The sequence below is a fragment of the Homo sapiens genome, chromosome 11, assembly GCF_000001405.40.
Source record: "Homo sapiens chromosome 11, GRCh38.p14 Primary Assembly".
Classification (NCBI taxonomy): domain Eukaryota; kingdom Metazoa; phylum Chordata; class Mammalia; order Primates; family Hominidae; genus Homo; species Homo sapiens.
The window spans coordinates 40,146,655-40,166,918 of NC_000011.10; the positions used below are offsets into that span (position 1 = coordinate 40,146,655).

At 38.0% G+C, this 20,264-nt stretch overlaps 1 protein-coding gene across 25 annotated transcripts in view, besides 3 other annotated features; it reads right to left on the bottom strand.

The window, feature by feature from the left end:
• Positions 1–20,264, bottom strand: part of LRRC4C (leucine rich repeat containing 4C) — a 1,345,454-nt gene that overhangs the window by 32,456 nt on the left and 1,292,734 nt on the right. The window lies entirely within an intron of this gene.
• Positions 5,214–6,413: an enhancer, noted in NCBI's record as "MED14-independent group 3 enhancer chr11:40173418-40174617 (GRCh37/hg19 assembly coordinates)". NCBI's record gives its function as "activates an origin of replication core promoter dependent on BRD2, BRD4, P300/CBP and CDK7 cofactors, and independent of MED14, by STARR-seq in HCT116 cells {active_cell/tissue: HCT116}" and the evidence as "EXISTENCE:reporter gene assay evidence [ECO:0000049][PMID:35650434]".
• Positions 5,214–6,517: a biological region, named in NCBI's record as "MED14-independent group 3 enhancer GRCh37_chr11:40173418-40174617".
• Positions 6,017–6,517: an enhancer, noted in NCBI's record as "H3K4me1 hESC enhancer chr11:40174221-40174721 (GRCh37/hg19 assembly coordinates)". NCBI's record gives its function as "activates a minimal SCP1, AML or CMV promoter by ChIP-STARR-seq in naive H9 embryonic stem cells {active_cell/tissue: H9 hESC(naive)}" and the evidence as "EXISTENCE:reporter gene assay evidence [ECO:0000049][PMID:30033119]".

Here is a 20,264-nt window from a genome sequence, read left to right on the forward strand (position 1 = left end):
TCATCTACAAATAGTCCTCCTGGTTTACATTATTCTGAAACAATATTCCTTATCCTCAGATGATATGTTTTCCTTAATTTCTGAATTGGACTAGGACATCCTCATTAAGCTTCTTAAACTGACAATAAGGTAGACAAGGCACAAAAAGTTGAATAATGACACCATGAGGGATGGACTTCCTGCTCAACACTGGTATCTAGATACTGTGGGAACTCTGTGTCAGCCTGACATTGGGTATAGCGCTTTCTAGGTTGCATTGGTATAGCACCATTGAGAGCACACAGGATCAAATTAAGTCATTGCTTTCAAACTTAAACTTTACTCAAAGTGGGCCCTTTTGGGAAGGACCTAGTCTCCTAGATTTAATCCACTAGAAAATGGTTATGTCTAGATTATCAGAAAGCCAAGTGTTCTCTTTACCAAAGCAGTTGGGAATTATAGCTGCTGCCTCATGTTGCAAGTGCCTGACTTTTTCCCAACTTCATTAGCCCTTCTCTCAATTTAATAGTGGGCACTGACCGCCACTTGCAGGTAGAACAAATCCTGGCCATCTTGTTAGGCCTAACTCTCACACAGCCTCATGACATCATTACTAATCTTAGGCTTCAAAAGTTCTACTCTGTACCCTATACGACTTTGGGAAATTTTTCCAGTTTGGTTCCAAGACCACACCTCCATATTTATTTCAGATCTCTTACAGGATCCCTGTCCTGCTGCATAAATCTAGTTCTTTTTATTATAACTATCCAATCTCCCAGAGCCTCAAAACTAAGAACCTGGCTTGCTGCTCAAATTTCTAGATTCCAACCTTATCACCCTAACTTCCTCCAGCACTGATAGCCTTTCTTCTGCATTTTTTTCTCATTCAACATTAATTAATATCTTAAGAGCAGAGACTGTTCTAGACACTGGGGATTCTGCAATGAATCAGACAGTGAAGACCTCTCACTTCATGGGGCTTACTTTTTGTAGGTTAGACAGATAATAAATAATTAAAAAAAAAGATGAGGTAGACATAATTGTCGAGATGAAAAGAAAATAATTAAAAAACAGAATAATTGAGAGGAAACTTTATTTTTTCTTTTTCTTTTTATGTAACTTTTGTTTTAAGTTCAGGGGTACATGTGCAAGTTTGTAATATAGGTAAACTTGTGTCATGGGGGTTGTTGTACAGATTATTTCATCACCCAGGTATTTAGCCTAGTATTCATTAGTTATTTTTCTTGATCCTCTCCCTCCTCCCACCCTCACCCTGATAGGCCCCAGTGTGTGTTGTTCCCCTCTGTGTGTCCATGTGTTCTCATCATTTAGCTCCCACTTATAAGTAAGAACATGCAATATTTGGTTTTCTGTTCCTGTGCTACTTTGCTAAGAATAACGGCCTCCAGCTTCATCCATGTCCATACTATGGCTGCATAGTATTCTATGGTATATATGTACCACATTTTCTTTATCCAATCTACCATTGATAGGCATTTAGGTTGATTCCATGTCTTTGCTGTTGTGAACAGTGCTGCAATGAACATATAAGTGCATGTGTCTTTGTGGTAGAATGATTTGGATCAAATGGTGTTTCTGACTTTAGGTCTCTGAAGAATTGCCGCACTGTTTTCCACAATGGTTGAGCTAATGTACACTCCTACCAACAATGCATAAGCATTCCTTATTCTCCACAACCTCACTGACATCTGTCATTTTTTGACTTTTTATAATAGCCATTCTGACTGGTGTGAGATGATATCTCACTGTGGTTTTGTTTTTCATTTCTCTAATGATCAGTGATGTTGAGCTTTTTGTCATATGCTTGTGGCCACATGTATGTCTTTTTTAAAAAAGTGTCTGTTCATGTCCTTTGCCCTCTTTTAACGGAGTTATTTGTTATTTTCTTGTAAATTAGTTTAAGTTCCTTATAGATGCTGGATATTAGACCTTTGTCAGATGCATAGTTTGTAAATATTTTCTTCCATTCTGGGGGTTGTCTGTTTATTCTGTTGGTAGTTTCTTTTGCTGTGCAGAAGATCCTTAGTTTAATTAGATCCTATTTGTCAATCTTTGCTTTGTTGCAACTGCTTTTGGTGTCTTCATCATTAAATTCTTGCCTGTTCCTATGGCCAGAATGGTATTGCTTAGATTGTCTTCCAGAGTTTTTATGGTTTTGTGTTTTACATTTAAGTCTTTAATCCATCTTGAGTTAATTTTTGTATATGGTGTAAGGAAGGGGTCCAGTTTGAATCTTTTGCATATGGCTAGCCAGTTACCCCAGCACTATTAATTGAATATGGAGTCCTTTCCACATTGCTTGTTTTTGTCAGCTTTGTCAAAGATCAGATAGTTGTAGGAGTGCAGCATTACTTCTGGCCTCTCTATTCTGTTCCATTAATGTGTCTGTTTTTGTACCAGTACCATGCTGTTTTGATTACTGAAGCCCTGTACTATAGTTTGAAGTTGGGTAGTGTGATGTATCCAGCTTTGTTCTTTAAATGCCTTGGCTACTTGGGCTTTTTGTGGGTGTTAAGGGAACAGGGGTTCCATATGAATTTTAAAATAATCTTTTCTAGTTCTGTGAAGAATGTCATTGGCTATTTAATAGGAATATCAGTTAATCTATAAATTGCCTTGGGCAGTATAGCCATTTTAACAATAATGATTCTTCCTGTTCATGAGCATGGGATGTTTTCCCATTTGTTTATGTCATCTCTGATTTCCTTGAGGAGTGTTTTGTAGTTCTCATTGTTGAGATCTTTCACCTCCCTGGTTAGCTGTATTCCTGGTATTTTATTCTTTTTGTGGTAATTGTGAATGGGATTATGTTCCTGATTTGGCTCTTGGCTTGACTGTTGTTGGTGTATAGGAATGCTAGTGATTTTTATATATTAATTTTGTATCCTGAGACTTTGCTGAAGTTATTTATTAACTTAAGGAGCTTTGGGGCTAAGACTATGGGGCTTTCCAGATACAGGATCATGTTGTCTGCAAGCAGGGAGAGTTTGAGAGAAAACATTAAATTGATGGTCTGGTAAGGCCCCTCTGAAAAAGAGATGTGTAAATTCAAGAATGATAAGAAAGAACTTAGATATAAAAACATCTGGGAGAAAAATATTCCAGGAAGAGAGAATAGCTAACATAAAGTCTTCAATTTTTAAGGAGAATGTTGTACTTAAAGAATAATATGGGGAAGAAATAGGCCAGTCTAGTAGACATAACAGGGGCAGGCAAAAGAGTCAGAGATGTGGGTGGTGAAAGTATTAGTTTCCTGTGGTTGCCACACCAAATTACCACAAACTTGATGATATAAAACAACAGAAATGTATCCTTCTGCAGTTCTGGAAGCTGGAAGTCTGAAACTGAGATGCTGCCAGGGCTGTACTCCTTTCAAAAGCCCTAGGGGAGAATTCTTCCTTGCTTTTTCCAACTTTGGTGGCTCTAGGTCTTCCTTGGCTTGTGGCTACATGACTCCATTCTCTTTCTTTACCCCCATATGGCCCTTCTTCTCTTCTCCCTGTGTCTCTCCTCTATGTGTCTCTATGAGGACATTTGTCATTGTATTTGGGGTCCACCTGGATAATCCAGGATGATCTAATCTCAAGATCCTCAACTTAATTATGTACACAAAGACTGTTTTTTCCAAATAAGGTCACATCTGGCTTCTGGGGGCTAGTATGTAGATTTTTTGTGTAAAACCATCCAACATACTTCAGAGAGCTAGGCCTTGCAGGCCAGGTAAAGCAATTTCTTTGTATTCTATATGCAATGAAAAACTCATAGAGAATTTTACATTAGAAAATAATATAGTTTGACTTAGACTTGTTTCTTTAAAAGAGACATGGTCTTGCTCTGTTGCCCAAGCTACATTGCGGTAGCATGATCATAGCTTACTACAGCCTCAAACTCCTGGCCTCAGCCTCTTGAGTAGTTGGGATAACAGGCACACACCACCATGCCTGGCTAATTTTTTTAATTTTTAATTTTCGTAGATACCTGGTCTCACCATCTTGTCCAGGCTGTTCTCAAACCCCTGAGGCTCAAGAAATCCTCTTGCCTCAGCCTCCCAATGTGCTAGTTCAGGCATGAGCCACCGTGCCCAGCCTGATTTAGACTTTCAATCTACCATTCTGACCATGTATGAGAACTAATTGAAGGGAGAAGTAGATCAGTGATACATGAGAGAGATGGTTTGATCTTTGGTAGCAGTAGAAATAGAAGTAGAAGATTAAGAATTTGTTATGGAGGTAGAGAGAGTTAAGATTTGCTTAGGGATTACATATGGGGGTGGTGGTGAGAGAAATAAAAAAAAATGCCATCTGCCAACTACCAGTGCAACTACCTAAATGTCATCTGCTTCTGAACTCCCCACTGCCATGCTCCATATGCCTGCAAGAGTATTTGTGTCAAGGGATCACCTCCACCTCCCTAGCTATTCTTAGGCCTTTGAAAATATTATCTTCTCTGTTAGTCTAGTTCTCTTTCTAGTTTTTGTGGCATTCTGTGCCTTCTCTAACTTTTCCCCAAGAGTTTGCCCTGTCCAGTGACAAATTTTGCTTTAAAACAAGGCTATTCTAATTCCCACTCCAATGCAGTTTCCTGAGGCATCCAAACCACAACCAGACAACAGACTCTGAAATGTCAGGGATTTTTTCCATTTTATTTAGATCGAGGTGATTGAAAACTCTTTGAAAACACAAGTAACAAAGATTCAGAGCCCAATTATACAGCAATTCTTATCCCAGTGGCATGCATACACCCAGTACGTAAGCCTCTATGGAACTAGAGTTTCTAGACTGTTTTTCTAGGTCAGATACACAAAAAAATTTGTATCATCAAAATAATATCAATTCTCATAGTTATATCTTTTCAAGAAATTATAATTTCAAGTCAAGTATAATGTTTCTCCCTTGCTAGTACGAAATTCTGATTAAGAACTCAGCCTTAAATTGTTCTGAAGTAGTTCGCGGAAGGTAGAGACAAAAAATGGAAATATGCTACAGTTGTGCTAAAGTTTATAAAGTGAAGCCCCCTTGATGAAGGCCAAATTTTCATATTGAGTAAACCATTATAATAAAATATAGCTGGAAGCCTATACTTTTGGATTCTGGGGAAGAAACAAGGCAACATGAGATCTCTGTCATTATTCTGTGACATTAGGCTATTCCTCTGTGAGTTGTTCCCAGAAGATACTCCAGAAATTCTACAACTATTTAATTCTGGTAAGTGCCTGCCAAGCTTATTTTAAAGTAAACTAAATTTTTCAGAATAATTTCAGCTTCAAAATTTACATTTATCGTGATGGAAGGGATCATGGTGGGATGCAGGACTAGATTGCAGCTCAGACAGAGCAGCATCCAGAGGCTTGCACTGTGAATTTTAGCTCCAGATGGCCTGCAAGAACAAACCGGCAATCCCAAGAGGAACCACAGACCCTCTGAAGGAAATGGACTGCTCCTGCAGGACTCGAGAGACACCCCAAATACTGTGAGTGCCCCATCTGTGGAAGTAGGAAGGGGAGACCCTCCTCTCCAAACGCACACCCCCGCTGGAGAAGCTGAAGGTCTGTTTGCGGGAGAAGTTTCTAACTTTACCTGGAGCTCAGTCAAGTTAGAGAGCCAAGTAAAATATAGGGGCAGAAGAAATAGCAGAAAGGCCTTGGGAGTTCGCTGGGTCCCCAAGCAGCCCATTCCTGCCTGGCACCACGGGGATCCACTGGGAGGGTGGCAGGGGGTAAAACTCCACAGGGAGAAGGAATTCCCTAGATGAACTTTGTTACTATTTGAAGGGGGCGAGAAGCCTCTTGGCCAGAACTCAAGGGAGGGCACAAATTCGGCATGCAGACTTCACAGGCAGGGGAAGAACTAAAGCCATTTTCTTTTGCACCTGGGAGGCAGATAGCCTCCAGCAAGTTTTCAAGTCCCTCTCGCCCTCTGCCTGGAAACAGACTCCGGGCTGTTGTGGGGCACAGTGGGAGTGAGACCGGCCCTTCAGTTTGTGTGGGAGCTGGGTGAGGCCTGTGATTGCCAGCTTTCCCCCACTTAGCTGACAACCTGCATGACTCAGCAGAGGCAGCCATAATCCTCCTAGGTACACAACTCCAGTGACCTGGGAATCTCACCCCCATCCCCCACAGCAGCCACAGCAAGACATGCCCAAGGAGCGTCTGAGCTCAGACACGCCTGGTCCCACCTCTACCTGATGGTCCTTCCCTATCCACCCTCATAGCAGATGACAAAGGGCATATTATATTGGGAGTTGCAGGGCCCTGTCCACTACCTGTCCCTCTCCACACTACCACAGCTGCTGCTTTCTGGAAAGCACCACCTCCTGGCAGGAGGCCAATGAGCACAAAAATAGAGCATTAAACCACCAAAGCTAAGGACCCTCACAGAGTCCATTGAACCCTCTGCTACTTCCAACAGAACAGGTGCTGATATTCATGACTGAGAGACCCATAGACAGTTCACATCACAGGACTTTGTGCAGACAAGCCCCAGTACCAGCCTGGAGCCGAGCAGACTTGCTGGGTGGCTAGACCCAGAAGAAAGACAACAATCACTGCAGTTTGGCTCACAGGAAGCCATGTCCATAGGAAAAGTGGGGAGTACTATATCAAGGGAACACCCCATGGGACAAAAGAATCTGAACAACAGCCTTCAGCCTTAGACCTTCCCTTTGACAGAGCCTATCCAAATGAGAAGGAGCCAGAAAACCAACCCTGGTAATATGACAAAACAAGGCTCTTCAACACCCCCTGAAAATCACACTAGTTCACCAGCAATGGATCCAAACCAGTAAAAATCCCTGATTTACCTGAAAAGGAATTCAGGAGGTTAGTTATTAAGCTAATCAGGGAGGGACCAGAGAAAGGTGAAGCCCAATGCAAGGAAATACAAAAAATGATATTAAGAAGTGAAGGGAGAAATATTCAATGAAATAGATAGCTTAAAAAAAAAAACAATAAAAAATTCAGGAATCTTTGGACACACTTTTAGAAATGAAAAATGCTCTGGAAAGTCTCAGCAATAGAATTGAACAAGTAGAAGAAAGAAATTCAGAGCTTGAAGACAATGTCTTCGAATTAACCCAATCCAACAAAGATAAAGAAAAAAGAATAAGAAAATATGAATAAAACTTCCAAGAAGACTGGGAGTATGTTAAATGAAAAAAACCTAAGAATAATCAGTGTTCCTGAGGAAGAAGAGAATTCTAAAAGCTCAGAAAACATATTTGGGGAAAACTTCCCTGGCCTAGCTAGAGAACTAGACATCCAAATACAAGAAGCACAAAGAACACTTGGGAAATTTATTACAAAAAGATGTTTGCCTAGGCACACTGTCATCAGATTACCCAAAGTTGAGATGAAGGAAAGAATCTTAAGAGCTGTGACACAGAGGCACCAGGTAACCTATAAAGGAAAATCTATCAGATGAACAGCAGATTTCTCAGCATAAACCCTGCAAGCTAGACGGGATTGGGGCCCTATCTTCACCCTTCTCAAACAAAACAATTATCAGCCAAGAATTTTGTATCCAGCAAAACTAAGCATCACATATGAAGGAAAGATACAGTTGTTTTCAGACAAACAAATGCTGAATGAATTCGCCATTACCATTTGCCTATAAAACAAAAATACAAGCTAAAAAGCAAAAAAAAAAAAAAAACAAAAAGCAAAGTACACAGGCAACAAAGAACACAATTAATGCAACAGTACCTCACATTTCAATACTAACATTAAATGTAAATGGCCTAAATGCTCCACTTAAAAGATACAGAACTGCAGAATGGATAAGAACTCACCAACCAACTATCTGCTACCTTCAGGAGACTCACCTAACACATAAAGACTCAAATAAACTTAAAGTAAAGGGGTGGAAAAAGCAAATGAACACCAAAAGTGAGCCAGGGTAGTTATTCCTATAGCAGACAAAACAAACTTTAAAGCAACAGTGGTTAAAAGAGGCAAAGAGGGACATTATGTAATGGTAAAAGGCCTTGTCCCACAGGAAAATATCACAATCCTAAACATATATGCACCTAACACTGGAACTCCCAAATTTATACAACAATTATGAATAAACCTAAGAAATGAGATAGACAGCAACACAATAATAGTAGGAGACTTCAATACACCACTGACAGCACTAGTCAGGTTCTTAAGACAGAAAGTCAACAAACAAACAATGGATTTAAACTATACCTTGGAACAAATGGACTTAAACGAATATACAGAATATTTCATCCAACAACCACAGGATACACATTCTATTTAACAGCACGTGGATCTTTCTCCAAGGTAGACCATATGATAGGCCATAAAATGAGCCTCAATAAATTGAAGAAAATTGAAATTATATCAAGCACTCTCTCAGACCACAGTGGAATAAAACTGGAAATCAACTCCAAAAAGAACCTTTAAAATAGGTGGAAATAAATACATGGAAATTAAATAACCTGCTCCTGAATGGGCACTGTGTCAAAAATGAAATCAAGATGAAAATTAAAAAATTCTTCAAACTGAATGACAATAATGTCACAACCTATCAAAACTCTGGGATACAGCAAAGGCGTTGGTAAGAGGAAAGTTTATGGCCCTAAATGCCCACATCAAAAACTCTGAAAGAGTACAAAGAGACAATCTAAGGTCACACCTCAAGAAACTAGAAAAAGAAGAACAAACAAAACCCAAACCCAACAGAAGGAAGGAAAAACCAAGATGAGAGCAGAACTAAATGAAATTGAAATTAAAAAAATACAAAAGATAAATGAAACAAAACCTGGTTCTTTGAAAAGATACATAAAATTGATAGACCATTATCAAGCTTAACCAAGAAAAGAAGAGAGAAAATCCATATAACCTCACTAAGAAACAAAACAGGAGATATTACAACTGACACCACTGAAATACAAAAGATCATTCAAGGCTACCATGAATACCTTTATGCACATAAATTAGAAAACCCAGAAGAGATGGATAAATTCCTGGAAAAAGACAACCCTCCTAGCTTAAATGAGGAAGAATCAGATACCCTGAACAGACCAATAACAAGCAGTGAGATTGAAATGATAACTAAAATATTACCAACAAAAAAAAGTCCAAGACCAGACGGATTCACAGCAGAATTCTACCAGATGTTCAAAGAAGAATTGATACCAATCCTTTTGACATTATTCCACAAGATAAAGAAAGAACCTTCCCTAACTCATTCTATGAAGCCAGCATCACCCTAATACCAAAACCAGGAAAGGACACAACCAAAAAAGAAAACTACAGACTGATATCTTTCATGAATATAGATGCTAAAATCCTTAACAAAATACTAGCTAACCGAATCCAGCAACGTATCAAAAAGATAATCCACCATGATCAAGTGTGTCTCATACCATAGATGCAGGGATGGTTTAACATACGCACGTCAATAAATGTAATACACCACATAAACAGGATTAAACACAAAAATCACATGATCATCTCAATACATGCAGAAAAAGCATTTGACAAAATCTAGCATTGCTCTATGATTAAAACTTTCAGCAAAATCAGCATACAAGAGACATACCTGAATGTAATAAAAGCCATCTATGACAAACCCACAGCCAACATAATACCGAATGGGGAAAAGTTGAAAGCATTCCCTCTGAATGAACAAGACAAGGATGCCCACTGTCACCACTCCTCTTCAACATAGTACTAGAAGTCCTAGCCAGAGCAATAAGACAAGAGAAAGAAATAAAGGGCATCCAAGTCAGTAAAGAAGAAGTCAAACTGTCACTGTTTGCTGAAGATATGATCATTTACCTTGAAAACACTAAGACTCATCCAGAAAGCTCCTAGAACTGATAAAAGAATTCAGCAAAGTTTCTGGATACAAGATTAATGTACATAAATCAGTAGCTCTTCTATACACCAACAGAAACCAAGCAGAGAATCAAATCAAGAACTCAACCTCTTTTACAATGGCTGCAAAAAAACCACAAAAAACAAAAAACAGAAACAAAAACAAAAACCCAAGCAACCAAACAAACAAAAAAACCCAACAACAACAACACTTAGAATATACCTAACCAAGGAGTCAAAAGACCTCTACAAGGAAAACTACAAAACACTGCTGAAAAAAATCATAGATGACACAAACAAATGGAAACACATCCCATGCTCATGGAAGGGTAGAATGAATATTGTGAAAATGAGTATACTGCCAAGAGCAATCTACAAATTCAACACAATTTCCATCAAAATACCACACAATTTTTTACAGAATTAGAAAAAACAATTCTAAAATTCATATGGAATCAAAAAAGAGCCCGTATAGCCAAAGCAAGACTAAGCAAAAAGAACAAATCTGGAGGCATCACACTACCTGATTTCAAACTTCACTATAAGGCCATAGTCACCAAAACAGAGTGGTACTGGTATGAAAATAGGCACATAGACGAATGCAGCAGAATAGAGAACCCAGAAATAAACCCAGATACAGCCAACTGATCTCTGACAAAGCCGACAAAAACATAAAGTGTGGAAAGGACACCCCTTCAACAAATGGTGCTGGGGTAATTGGCTAGTCACATGTAGGAGAATGAAACTGGATCCTCATCTCTCACCTTATACAAAAATCAACACAAGTTGGATTAAAGACTTAAACCTAAGACCTGAAACTATAAAAATTCTAGAAGACAACATTGGAAAAACCCTTCTAGACATTGGCTTAGGCAAGGATTTCATAACCAAGAACCCCCCAAAAATGCAATAAAAACAAAGATACATAGCTGGGACCTAATTAAACTAAAGAGCTTTTGTACAGCAAAAGGAACAGTCAGCAAAGTAACCAGACAACCCACAGAGTGGGAGAAAATCTTCGCAATCTATACATCTGACAAAGGACTAATATCCAGAATCTACCACAAACTCATACAAATCAGTAAGAAAAAACAAACAATCCCATCAAAAGTGGGCTAAGGACATGAATAGGCAATTCTCAAAAGAAGACACACAAATGGCCAGTAAATATATGAAAAAATGCTCAACATCATTAATGATCAGGGAAATGCAAATCAAAACCATAATGCAAAAGCACCTTTCTCCTGCAAGAATGGCCATAATCAAAAAGTCAAAAAACAGTAGATGCTGGCATGGATGCGGTGAACAGGGAACACTTCTACACTGCTGGAGGGAACGTGAACTAGTACAGCCACTATGGAAAACAGTGTGGAGATTCCTTAAAAAAACTAAAGGTAAGAAACTACCATTTGTTCCAGCAATTCCACTACTGGGTAGGATTACCCAGAGGAAAAGAAGTCATTATTTGAAAAAGATACTTGCACACACATGTTTACAGCAGCACAATTCACAATTGCAAAATCATGAAACCAACCCAAATGCCCATCAATCAATGAGTGGATAAAGAAACTGTGGTATAGATCTATGAGGGAATACTATGCAGCCATAAAAAGGAATGAATTAACAGTATTTGCAGTGACCTGGATGAGATTGGAGACTATTATTCTAAGTGAAGTAACTCAGGAATGTGAAACCATACATCGTATGTTCTCACTGATATGTGGGAGCTAAGCTATGAGGACACAAAGGCATAAAAATGATACAGTGGACTTTGGGGACTTGGGGGGAAGAGTGGAAGCGGGGATGAAGGATAAAAGACTACAAATATGGTGCAGTGTATACTGCTCAAGTGATGGGTGCAGCAAAATCTCACAAATACCACTAAAAAATTTACTCATGTAACCAAATACAACCTGTACCCCAATAACTTAAGGAAAAAATTTTAAAAATTACATTTATCTGTGACTATAGTTTCAGTTTAATAATTATGGTATGCAATTGGGTCTTTAGTCCCTAAGAACAAAACAAATTTTAGGATTTGATATTCTAAAACCAAAAGTTTATTTTAAAATAGCATTATTAGAGCTTAAAACATACTTATCAAAAAAAAAAAAAATAGATTCCCTGGCATGTGAAATTTGGCAAGGATGAAGAGAGGGGCTGTTGCTCTCTGGCTCTGGATTAGAACATTTGTACATCAGAAAGATTTTTAATGTGATCCATCAAAGTGCCCACTCTTTAGGAATACAGGTATCCAACCTAATATCCATTAGCAAATGAAAACATGTTTCAGATGTTTAAACTGACATTTGATTCTAGTCTTATGTTGGGTTTGTTTAAATGAATGCTACTGTCTTCATCATGAAACTCATATCAAATCAATTGTGGATTAATAGTAGGAAAAGAGTATCAGAAAAACAAAACAAAATGAAATGAAACTTCCTGGTTGATTAAAATTCATTTCTTTATTCACTCATGATTTTTTTCTTATCTTAAAATAATCTAAATCTTATTGAGCATGATAGGATTAAGTGGGAATTGGACAGATAGTGGAGTTGGGGATGGATTGTAATTATACTACACTGCGAAAAAGCAAAGTGCACATTTCTACGTATAGGGAAAATCCTCTTGCAGATGAAAATTTGGTCGTTGTTTTTTTTGTACTCCAAAGAGTCTAAAATATTTCTCCCATTGTTAACTGCTTGGAGAATCCTTATCAGGACAGAAGTTTCAGATGGCGAAGATAATTTTCAAATTGGAGTTAGAGAAGCCATTCCCAGGTTAATGAGCACAGAGCAGCAGGCATTTTGAAGGGTTTATTTGGAGAAAGGAAACGTCTGCAGAAATCAAGTGATTAAGATGTGATACTCAAAGCGAACTCTCAGCGATCTCATTAGCAGAGACTAAGAATAGTCTAAAAATGCAATAAGAGCCCTTATACAAGGTCACAAACATCCCAGTGCAGGCCAGCTGTGTGGGACCCACTGAAGAGAAACATGAGGAAACTGATTATACCAGATTAAGAAATCTTCCTTAGAAAAGGTGAGAGATTCTTCCCACTTACTAAGGGAGGACGAGCTAGAAATATATGAAAATCCCATTGCATAGTATTCATAGTTCTCCAGATGTGCTTATGCATATTAAAATACATATACTTTTATTCCATAATGTAGTTTTAATCATTCTAAATTAATTTGAATCACTTCCGTACAAATACTACTTTCTCACACATCTTTCTTCACAAATTTCCCTAAAAAGTCCTCCTACTCAACTGCAGACTGTCACTTTTACCTCCTTTCCCTGAAATTACATTATATGTTTATTTGTTTCCTTTTAAAACTATATGCCTGCTATCAAAATAATGGAAGCTTCATGGGTGGAAGGATACTATATAACTTGTTCATTATCTCATTTCTCAAGCCTAGAATAATATTTGGCATGTAAGTTTCTAAAACATTTATTGAATAAAAGAATAAAGAACCCTGTTTAATTTTCATAAAATCATTGTTGAGACTACACCTCTACGTGTTATTACATGAATAACAGAATGTTGAAATGAAAGTTTTGGCCAGGGAACCAAGACACAGTGGATAGTACACTGGAAAGGTGGTATGCATTTACAATGGAGGTGGTCATCCGTGGTTGTTCATAACCTCTTAACACAACAAAGGCAAAAATGGACCAGAGAAGAGTTGCGAAGATTTTTTTTTTTTTGGACAGAGTTTTACTATGAGTCCCACTTTTAAGTGAAGTTGTGGGTGGTATTACATCCTGACTCTCAATTTTGTAGAGAGTAGCTTCAAGATGATTATTAGATTTTTGAGCAACTGTCAGTGGGTTGTGACTTACTATCTTCAACTCCAAGGGGAAGGAGAATTGCAGAAGGATCCGGTACCTCATCACAAGACTAAAGATGGTTAAATATAAGGGACTCAGAAGGCTGGTGTCTAAATTTCATCTGAAAAATTTCGAGGGCATGAGAACAGATGTTGATCATATATACAAAGGTGTCAACAAGAAAGCCATGAAGATATATAAGATCCTGTACAAGAGCATTGCCTGCAGAAGTCAACAGCTTACTAGAGGGAATCTGAAAGTATTTCCAAATGCTTAGGAACTGAAAAAGGAGTAAGTGATGTGTCAGCAATATGCCATCACTCTCATCAAGGCAAATTTATAGACGAGCGAAAGGGCAGGGGTGGGTCATGAAAGAACACATTAAAATCATCATTAAAAAGTCAGTTTCAAATGTCTGCCAGATCCAAAGATTATGTTGTCAACTGAAGATGGTAACTATCAAGTGCAAGCTATTCTCCTTACTTCTCACCTATTTTCCCTAACCATGATGCAGCAAAGGAGAGTCAGAACTAGGGGTAGGCAGATAGAAGAAGAGGAGGAATAGAAGACTATGTGACAACATAGAGAAGAAACCAGCCACGTCCATGCCTCAGTCTGCGACTTCAGGCTTCCCACCCAAAATTGAGCCTGTGTTGGGAAAGGCAGGAATCTTAATATCAGTTAAAAGTCTTGAATATCCTATAACCAGATTATTTAAATTATTGACCATGGGGCTTCATGTTACCTAAATATTTCCAGAAAGTTTTCATCTAGGAACAGAAGTAAAACTTGGTTTATGAATAAGTTTTAGTAGGAGAAAAAAATGAAATCTCTTTACAATTACATCCCAGAATTTGCCAAGTTCAATATCACGACTAAAATAATTTTACAGAGTTTTTAATTGCAGGTAAGAACCCCTCTCAAATATTAACCTTATTTCTCTCTGGCCATGCTTTACATTTTGTTAATGATTGATAATGAGGAGGCAGTTAAATAAAATGTTTACTTGAGACTAGGCCTCCCAAATGTATACACAAATTATTTTTTAAATCAGCAACAAATAATTCTCAATGTGTAAATATTTTTAAAGTATCTGGTATTTCTAAAATAGCTCATGAAAGAAAAATACATTTAGGAGTTATTTGAAAATTAGAGGAGGCCGGGCACGGTCGCTCATGCCTGTGATCCTAGCACTTTGGGAGGCCGAGGCGGGCAGACTGCCTGAGCTCAGGAGTTCAAGACCAGCCTGGGCAACACGGTAAGACCCCGTCTCTACTAAAATACAAAAACTTAGCCTGGCATGGCAGTGTTGTGCCTGTAGTCCTAACTACTCGGGAGGCTAGGGCAGGAGAATTGCTTGAACCCGGGAGGTGGAGGTTGCACAGTGAGCCGAGATCGCGCCACTGCACTTCAGCCTGGGCAACAGAGCGAGACTCCTTCTCCGAAAAAAATTAAAAAGAAAATTAGAGGCAATAAGTTCTGTCATATAATCTAGGAAAGTGTATAAATCTGTGCTGAACAATTTACAGAATCTAGGAGAATGAAACACAGTGGTTGTGTCTGTGTGTGTAGTTGAGAAGGGGTAACGTCTTAGTCCATTTGTGCTGCTATAACACAATTCCTGAGTCTGGGTAATGCATAAATAATAAAATTTATTTCTCACAGTCCTGGAGGCTGAGAAGTCAAAGATCAAGTTACCAGCAAGTTCAGTGTCTAGTGAGGGCCCAGTCTCTTTAAATATTCATGAATAAGTACAAGCAGGCAGTGGGTTGTATTCATAGTTCCAACGATTCAACTTCTTACTCATTATCATCATCTTTTCATTGTCTGGAAAACTGGTTCCAGAAGAAAAAAAAAAAAAGACTGACCGTTATAACAAGCCAGACATCATTTCCGGTGCCAGCTTTGTTGTCTCTCCACAGGGACTTAGTCTGCTTGACCTTCATTAGCTCATAGGCATCACAGCTGCAAACGCTCAAACATTTTGGCATTTTTCTTTGGTGCAAAGGTTAAATAAAAATGGATTTTAATAATTTTGACACAGAATTAGAGAAAGAGATATAGATGAAACAGATAAATAAATAAATTGCTTCCTCTAGACCCTGGGTAAGAGAACAAGCAAGCACCTGTTTGCCTCTCACCCAGGGTGAGAGAAGAAGAAAGCACCTCTCTTGATGACTGAGATTTCTGCCATGACTCTGGAATTTGGGAGATCACTCTGCAACTTTTCTTTCACTTGTATAGTACTCTCCACCTCCCCGTTAGATGGTAAGGTACATAAAGAAATCTGCAAATGTTTCGTCGCTTTGTAGCTCAGTGTTCATCCGCTTGTTTCCTTGTTTTGTTGTTGTGTTTATTAGGGCCAAGTACTATAACAAACTTTACGTAAGGTATGTGATTTGTATCCTCCCAGATGCTAAGGAAATGGTAACTTAATAAGGTTTAATAACTCAGTCAAAGTTAGCATAGTTGATAAGTAGCAAAGCCAAGTTTCTTATTCAGGCTGTCCAAATACAACAATGAGGCACTTTAACTTGTACTTCTAAGCACCTGTTTAGTGATCATTTTCATGAGATAGGATTTAACTCTCAACTCTCAGCCTTTCTGGATGGAATGTTCTCATTTGCCATCTCACCTCATCTATAAGCTTCATTATCCCTCTAACCACCTCTACTACATATCTCTTTTGTCTCTTATCTTCTATTATAGTTTTGTTAAAGGGCAGCAACCATATTGCACCTAGTCTTGATTAAGCAGGCATGCCATTTGTCACAGAGCCAAGCAAGAAAATTCCTCATAGTGGTCCCCTTAAGCCATTGCTTGGAACGTTTCCCAGAAAGCACAGTGCATCCTATCCATACCCTATCCACCATACCGTGTGTAAGAACATTAATATCCATTAAAAGTTTCTGATAAATTTTCAATCAAATTTTTAATACAGCCCAGAGAGAAAGATAGTTTCACATTATCTTGAAGGTTTGATCTTAGTAAAGATTGCCTGTCTTTCAGAGGGTTTAGAACAAAGTATGCTGCATTTCAAAAGAAGTCACCACCTCCTTCAATGTCTGAATGACAGTAAGGTAATAAAACTCTCCCTTACAGGAATCACCGGGTTGCAAAATATCTAGACTATGAAGACATTTGCTGGCAAGGTATCAAGTGTGTAAATGGAACCATGGCTGATTTTAATTTTATGATGGAATGTGAAACTAAAAATAATTATTTATATATATTTGTGTATATGTATGAGTATGTATATATTCTGAATTGCAATATATTGTTATGTATGAATTGGACTATAAGCTGCTTCTAGAGTCAGTCTATCCTATGAATAGAAATTGATTATAATAACATAATAGCAAGTATGGTACCTGGTTAGAAATACCACACGAAAGAGAATTCCCAAGCTAAGTACAGTAGGCAGAATTCTAAGATGACCCTGAGCCACACCCTTATATAATCCTCCCACTGAGTATGAATAGGATTTATAACTTGCTTTTGCAAAAGCAAGTTATAAGGATTTATAACTTGCTTTTTTTTGCTTTTGCAAAAAATTGCAAAAGTGGTGGGATTATAATTTGTTTCTATAACATAAACAAATATAAACTCCCTTGATTGGGTTGCATTACACAGCAAAGATGATGGGAAGTTGCACATATGATAAAATAATTTTTATATAAGACTATGTTAGCACATTGTAGCAAGAGATTCTCCTGCTGGCTTTGAAAAACTTAGCTTCCATGTGGTTGTGAGAGGGTCATGTGTCAAAGAACTCTGAGTATCCTCTAAGAGCTGAGTATGTGGCCTGACAGCCAGCAAAAAAGCTAGGACCTCAGTCTTAAGCCATCAGGAACTGAATTCTGCCAATAATTACTTAAGCTTAACACAAGAATGTCCAGTAGATGCTGTTAAGAAGCTCATCAATGGATGAATGAATTTTTTAAATGTGGGAAACATACACAATGGAATATTATCCAGCCATAAAAGAGAATATCGGCTCACTGCAACCTCCACCTCACGGGTTCAAGTGATTCTCCTGCCTCAGCTTCCAAGAATAGCTGGGATTACAGGCATGCACCACTATGCCCGGCTAATTTTTTGTATTTTTAGTAGAGATGGGGCTTCACTATGTTGGCCAGGCTGGTCTCCTGACCTCAGGTGATCTGCCCACCTCAGCCTCCCAATGTGCAGGGATTACAGGTGTGAGCCACCGTGCCCAGCCAAATCCTGTCATTTGCAGCAACATAAATGGAACTGGATATCACTGTGACTAACACTTAGACAGCACTAGAAAGACAAATATTCCATGTTCTTTCTAATATGTAAGAGATAAGAAAGTTAATCTCATGGAGGTAGAGAGTAGAATGATAGATACCAGAGGCAGGGAAGGGGGTCGGGGACGATTCTATATTTCAAAATAGCTAAAAGAGAAGATGTGAAATGTTCCCAATACAAATAAGTGAAAAATGTTTGAGGTGATGGAAATCCTAAATACCCTGATTTGATCATTACACCATGTATGCATGTATCAATATATCATATGCACCCCATAAATTGGTACAATTATTATGTATCAATAGAGTTTATTTAAACAGAAGTTTAAAATTGACATCCATCTGGTAACTAAGCTCAGGACATGTTACCAAATTGAAGTATAATTGCTTTTATCCAGGAATCTTAAAAATGTAAAAATAAAATCTCAGGATAATTATACAGATTGGTATTTATTGAAGAACCATGGGTCATATGAATATATCCTCAAGGAACTTAATTATCTTGACAAAAGCATGATAGCATATGAAACAAATATGACATACAACTAGGTGTATAATTGTATTTGTGTGTATTTATCTTGCTTTGTGTTTGCATATGTCTGCACGTGTCTCTATTTTTATAAGTGTGTATACACATATATGTATATATATTCGCATGTCTGTATCTATATGTATCCGTTTCTATGTCTCTGTGTATCTGAGAATTTGTGTGTGTGCCTTTGTATTTGTTTTTATATGTGTATGTGTGTTGTGGGAGTTTGTGTGTGCATCTATATGAGTGGCAGAGTGTGTGTATGTGTCTATGTTTATGCGTCTGTTTGTCTGTGTGTACAAAAGGCTTGAAGGAGATGAAGAAAACACAAATTATCCTCTTCAAAGGCTTTTATAAAAATTAGTGAGGAGTAGAGAGAAAAACACAATACAGAAAAACAACGACAAAAAATCCACTGATTTTGGACTCTGCAATCTGGTTTTAGTTCTAATTCTGTGATATGTTAGTTCTGTGACTTTGGTAACCTGCTTCAGTTCTGAGTCTTAATTTTCCCTATATAAAATGAATTAGATCTTAAGAACATACCGGGCATGGTGGCTCACGCCTGTAATCCCAGCTCTTTGGGAGGCCAAGGTGGGTGGATCACCTGAGGTCGGGAGTTCAAGACCAGCCTGACCAACATGGAGGAACCCTGTCTCTACTAAAAATACAAAATTAGCCGGGCGTGGTGGTGCATGCTTGTAATCCCAGCTACTGGGGAGGCTGAGGCAGGAGAATTGCTTGAAACTGGGAGGCGGAGGTTGCAGTGAGCCAAGATGGTGCCATTGCACTCCAGCCCGGGCAAGGAGAGCGAAACTCTGTCTCAAAAAAACAAACAAACAAAAAACAAAAAGAAAACTATCTCACTGCTAGTAGAAGTGTAAACTGGTACAACCATTTTAGAAAACTGTTTGGCTCTCTTTAATAAAGTTGATCATATTCATGCCATATGACCCAGCAATTGCTGTCGTAGGTATCTATAACCAGTACAAATGTGTACATATGTTCCAAATGTACATTAGAATGTTTATAGCAGCACTATGTAGTCCTAACAGACTAAACTGAAATGAGAACTAGCCTAAAACTAGAAGTGTCCCAATCCCCATTCAATGAACAGATACACTGTGGTATTTGCACCAATGGAATACCATATAGCTGGAGAATGAGCATTCTGTAGCCTTACAAAAATACGAATGAATTTCACAAATATAGACAAAAGAAGCTTGATACAAAGAAATCTCATATAATTTATATATAGTATATGAACCAGCAAACATGATCTTAATCTACACTCTTTGATGTCAGGATAGTAGTTATCCTTGAGGAGCGGGCAGTTACTGGAAGAGAGTCTAAGGAGAAGAGGCATTGTCAGTTTCCTACTGTGTGTGCTGGTTAACTGTGTTCAATTTGTGAAATGTCATGAACACATATGCTTCTGATATGTGTGATTTTTTATTAGAATATTTCACATAAATATAATTTTTTAAAGCCTCACATAGTATCAGGCAACTATGATGATCGAATAGGAGAATGCATTTAGACATGATTTAAACAAGCTCATCACTGCAGCTCTTTAAAAAAAAATAGTTGTCAAACTCTGGGTAATGACTACTAGTTGGTCATGTAATCAATTTATAGATTGTAACCTGTATTAAATAAAATGAAAAAGACTAGAACAGAAAATATTGGAGTGCATTATATACTGTATACTGTTTTGTGATATAAACATCCATATATATGTTTATATGGGTAGAGATGTAACATGTACATTTTATTCTGAGTCACAGTTAAAAGGAGT